This window comes from Homo sapiens, chromosome 13, assembly GCF_000001405.40.
Source record: "Homo sapiens chromosome 13, GRCh38.p14 Primary Assembly".
In the NCBI taxonomy this organism is placed as follows: domain Eukaryota; kingdom Metazoa; phylum Chordata; class Mammalia; order Primates; family Hominidae; genus Homo; species Homo sapiens.
Genome location: NC_000013.11, coordinates 26,903,966 through 26,909,426, shown reverse-complemented (window position 1 = coordinate 26,909,426; position 5,461 = coordinate 26,903,966). Strand labels below are relative to the sequence as shown.

At 43.0% G+C, this 5,461-nt stretch overlaps 1 pseudogene; it reads right to left on the bottom strand.

Annotated features, from left to right (window-relative positions):
* Positions 3,651 to 3,939, bottom strand: FGFR1OP2P1 (FGFR1 oncogene partner 2 pseudogene 1; annotated as a pseudogene).

Here is a 5,461-nt window from a genome sequence, read left to right as displayed (position 1 = left end):
ACCTTGGGACAAGGTCTTACTCCCTCACTTCCCTTTGGAACCTGGGTTTTCAGCCCATCTTCATGCAATTCCTTCCACATTGAAGACATACACAGAGAAGGCTTCCCCACACACAGCACTGTGGAGGTCTCTGGGTTTCTGCTTCCCACAAGCTCATTCAGGGACCGCCTATAGAATAAAGGGGCTAGAGAGAGGTGTTGAGAGGGAGGATTGTGGGAAGAACACAGGCTTCGGAGTCCCCTGACCCTGAATGTACTGGGCAGCTACCCTGGCCTCTCAGGGCTTCAGTTCTGCTGTGTGTACTCCGAGGACATGAATACATCCTCCACAGGGACTTAATGACATAAGTCACCTCAATAGAGGATCTCAGTAAAGACAAGTTCTTCCCCTTCTAGTTTCACCATTCTGGCTGTGGTGCTCTTGACTTCCTACCTCTGCCTCTGTTCTTATATCTCCACCTAAACTTACATTCCTTATTCATTTCTGTTTTTTAGTGCCTCTCTACCTTAGACAAATGTCAGCTCCCAAGGGCTGTGACTACTCCTCTTGTTCCTCACTCTTACTCAGTGCCTGCAAATTGCTCACTATTTATTGAATAATCTGGTCCTTTCTAAATAACGATTGGTTTTATGAAAACCAAGGTGGAAATTAAAATGGAAGTTGATTCAATTAATGCTCAGATTATAGGTTGGCAGCTGAAAGGGTATTTATTATCGATATTTCTACTCTAGTAAAATTTCAAAGTGATCTCCTTTTAGAAATCATTCCACTTCCCACCCCTGTTGGGAGGCCTGCCCACCTAACCCCTGCCAACTTTGGAGGGTCTGTGGTTCCTCAGGAGGCTGCTGCTCCCTCCTTGGAAACTGTAGTTGAGCTGCCATGGGTAGAACTGAGGTGGCAATGGGCAGACAGACCCCAGCCTTCTGACCCCCAAACCTCCACTGACCAGATTAGCCTTTCTTCCTAGATTCTGCTTTCAGAGAGCAAAAGAAAGTAACCACCGTGTGTCGTCTATCGCTATGTTGGCAACATATCTGGTCACTGTGATGGGTTAGAACATTTAAAAATACTCAAGAAGATGTCTGTGGCTGGATCCCAAACATTCAGCTCAGACTGAGACTAGAATCTGCTCAGATTGGAGCAGAACCAAGAATCTTTAACAAAGGAACCCAGACTCTGCCCCTGAGAGGCTCTGTTCTCTTCCTTCTAAAGGCCACACACATGGCCTACAGTGCTTTATTAATTCACCATCTTGCTGCCTCTTTGCCAAGCTCTCCCCGTGGATCATAGAGGGGGGCTTCTCTCCAACAGGCAGCGTTGCCCCAGGGCTTCCTGGCTAAGAAATGGAAGGATACAAGGGCTCCCAGGGCAAAGCCCAGGTAGGAAGTTGCCATTCTAAGAATTCTAACATGGTTTACTTTTGGGAAGGAAGTGTTCGAGGGAGGAGAGTCTATGATTGTGTGAGCCAACATTGGCAAGGTCAAGACACAAATCAGCTCCTCCCGATGGTGTTTGTTAGTAACTGTGGCTCTAGCAAATTAAACCAAATGTGCACCTTCTGTATCTCAGAGTCTTGTTTCACTAAGGCAAAGGAAAGAGCAATGATCTCCGACTCTGCTATGTGCCAGTTCCCACCACCTCCCTGGCTCCTCAAAGTGCAGTTATCAAATGGACTCATGCTCCCAACCTCTGTTAGAGTCATCTGCCTCATTCCAACAAGCTTCCATTTATGTCCAGGGCCAATGAGTTTCCAGGGAAAACAATTTTCTCCTTGGAGCCACAAACATTGACCTGTAACAGACTAGTAACAAGCATCACAGTGCCTAGAGAAAAAATTAAAATAGACACACTTTGATCTTTGACATTGTCCTACTAGGGTTCCAGTGATTTTCCATTGTCTGCCACTGAGGACAGCCAGAGCATGTCTGTATAAACAGGTTTTCATACTGAAAACTAGCACAATATCAGGCACAGATGGAAACTAAAGCCAACAAACAAACAAACCCCCAAATTGATAGAAAAGATGAAAAGTCTGGACGGGCACGGTGGCTCATGCCTGTAATCCCAGCACTTTGGGAGGCTGAGGTGGGTGGATCAGCTGACGTCAGGAGTTCGAGACCAGCCTGGCAAACATGTTGAAACCCCGTCTCTACTGAAAATAAAAATACAAAAATTAGCTGGGCGTGGTGGCAGGCGCCTGTGATCCCAGCTATTCGGGAGGCTGAGGCAGGAGAATCGCTTGAACCTGGGAGGCGGAGGTTGCAGCAAGCGGAGATCGTGCCAGTGCACTCCAGCCTGGGCAACAGAGTGAGATTCCGTCTCAAAAAAAAAAAAAAAAAAAGAAAAGAAAAAAGAAAAAAAGTAAAAAAGTAAAAAGAAACGATTAAAAGTCTGAAGATTTTCAAAGAATCTTCCCAAATATCTTAAGAAAATTGAGGCAACATAATCTGCTTATGTTATCCAATGATACCTTTGCATTTTCTGGTGCTGCAACCTAAATTTAGAGAAAGTAAAAACTGTGGATTTCAGTTCTGTGTCCTTCCTTGAGGTAGTTGGTGACTGATGATAAATAGATGTAATTAAATGAATCTACCAGAGCTGGGATGCTGAGACTTACTACTGTTAAAATGGCAATATTCTCCAAATTGATCTACAGATTCAAAATTCTAGCTGGTTATTCCTGCAGAAATTGCCAAGCTGATCCTAAAATTCATATGGACCCTGAAGAGCTGAAACAATCTTGAAAGGAAGAACAAAGTTAAAGGACTTAAACTTCCTGATTTCAAAACTTACTATAAAGCTACAGTAATCAAGACAATGTAGTATTAGCGTAGGATAAAGCTATCAATGGACTAGAATCGGAGGTTCAAAAATAAATCCTGGAAATTTACAGGAAATTTATTTTTGACAAAGATGTCAAGACAATCCAATGAGGAAAGCATAGTTTTTTCAAACAACTGGATATTCACATGCAAAAGAATGAAGTTAGATCCTTATCTCATGGCATATACAAAATTAACTCAAATAGGTCATAGACCCAAAGGTGTGAGTTAAAACTATAAAACATAAAGGTAAATCTCAATGATCCTAGGTCAGTCTTAACTATAACACCAAACATATAAGCAACAAAATAAGTAGACAAATTGCACTTCCTCAAAATTAAAAACATTTCCACTTGAAACCATATCATGAAGAAAGTGAAAAGACAAGCCACAGACTCAGAGAAAAGATTTGCAAATCACCCACCCGATAAGGGATTTGGGTCTAGAATATGTAAAGAATGCTTACAACTTAGTAACAAGAAGATTTTTTTTTTTCTCAAGTGATCTGGGCCTGAGAAGAGCTGGAAACTTCTGTGACACAGCTCCAAAAGGTGCCTGGACTGGCCGACTCAATCAATTAACGAGTGGAATAACAGAATCGGTGTCTTTAAAATTACTTTAAAATCATATGCCACTTTAAAAATGGGCAAAGTATATGAGCAGACATTTCTCCAATGAAGGTATCCTGTGATGATGCCGTTATGATAGCTTCTCATCTACTCACCTACTAAATTATTTTTAAATGATCTTTTAATAAGAATAAATCCTATGACCATTGTTTACGCATTTTCAAAAACCAGCTTTTGAGAGCATCATTTATGTGGGCTGATTGAGATCATGATTTTCCATTATTTGAAGGATTTCTCTCAAATCATTGATTTTCTGTTTAAGCTGAAATCTTTTCTTCCTATCTCATGCAACCTTGATGCTCACCAATCTCAGTGGCTTTCCTCATTACTGCTGCTATTTCAGTTATCAGGTCAACGTGGGCTTGTAATACCTTGGAATGTTGTTTGTTAAATTTCATGATTCTACCAAGGTCAGCCTTCTTTTTAGCTAACTCTTCAGCCCTCAACATTTGTTCTCAGTACTTGCTCATTATGAATCCCAAAGCTGATAACTTGAACTGCTCTGGAAAGCTGCGGTTTGCTCATAAAGAGACTTTTTCTGCATTGTCATGGTCTTTTGATATTTCAACAAGAGTTTTGGCATCAGCAAAGATCTTCTTCATTGTACAACTCATTTTCTGGTCTCCATTGTTGTCAGCCAACAGCTGAAAGCTTTTGTAAATGGTTGCTTGGAGGACATCATGAGGCTTCTGCTCTCCAGTGCAGAGTAATAAGGGCTGGTGAGGATGTGGAGAAATCAGAACCCTCATTTACAGCTGGTGGGAATAGAAAATGGTGCAGCCAGGCTGGGTGCAGTGGCTCACGCCTGTAATCCCAGCACTTTGGGAGGCTGAGGCAGAAGGATTGCTTGAGGCTAAGAGTTTAAGGGCAGACTGGGCAACATAGCATGACTCTGTCTCTTAAAAAAAAAAAATAGGTAGGTGTGGTGGTGTGCAACTGTAGTCCTAGCTATTTAAGAGGCTGAGGCAGGAGGATCTCTTGAGTCCAGGAGTTCAAGGCTGTAGTCAGCCATGACTGCACCACTGTACTCCAGCCTGGGCAACAGTCTTGACGATTCCTATTAACTTCAGTAGGGATGGCACGAAGTTGAAGAGGCTGAAGAAGAGAACCAGAGCCAGTGCACAAAACGTAGGGTTTATTTGAGGGAACGTACTCACAGGGCAGTTCTGTGTTGGCAGGCTGGACAGGAGAACAGCAACCACTTGTAAGAAGCATGGACTTTATATGGCATTTTCATTTAGCACCCTCAGTGCCAGCAACCTCCATGTCGCAGCTCTCATTTCTTAAGTGACTGCTGTCAGGTGGATCTGCCATACAGTGACAGAGTGAAACCCTGTCTCAAAAGAAAAAAATGGTACAGCCATTTGGAAAACTGTTGGCCATTCCTCAAATGTTAACAGAGTTATCTTTGACATCAAACCTGGACACTTGGTCAGTGTTATCTCCTTAACCCCGATGGGACAGGGCAGGCAGCAGCAGGCAGCATGAATCTTTTCCAGGAGAAAATAATGAGGTGCCAAGAAAAAACACTCGCTGGGGTTTACTGGGGCTGACCATCCATGCCCCTCAGTTGAATCTCATTACTATTCTTTTTCCCCTCCCTTTAGTCCAGCATGTTTGGGCTCAGGACCATGCATCATACACGCTCTCTTACAATACTTAGGGCTAAATGATCCCCAGCGAAAACAGTATTTGCAGAAAGCAAATCTCTAACTGGAAACAGGATAACCTCAGGAGTGGGATTCTTCCCTGAAGCAGATCTGTTACTGTTTTCACTTTAGTGCGGGGCTGTACAGGTGGGACTATGAACAGGTCCCCATCATTTTAGTCGGGTTGGTAACCTTGGTGTGATGAGGGTGTGTATTAGTCCGTTTTCACACTACTGATAAAGACATACCCGAGACTGGGCAATTTACAAAAGAAAGAGTTTTAATGGAGTCACAGTTCCACATGGCTGGAGAGGCCTCACAGTCATGGTGGAAAGCAAGGAGAAGCAAGTCATGTCTTACA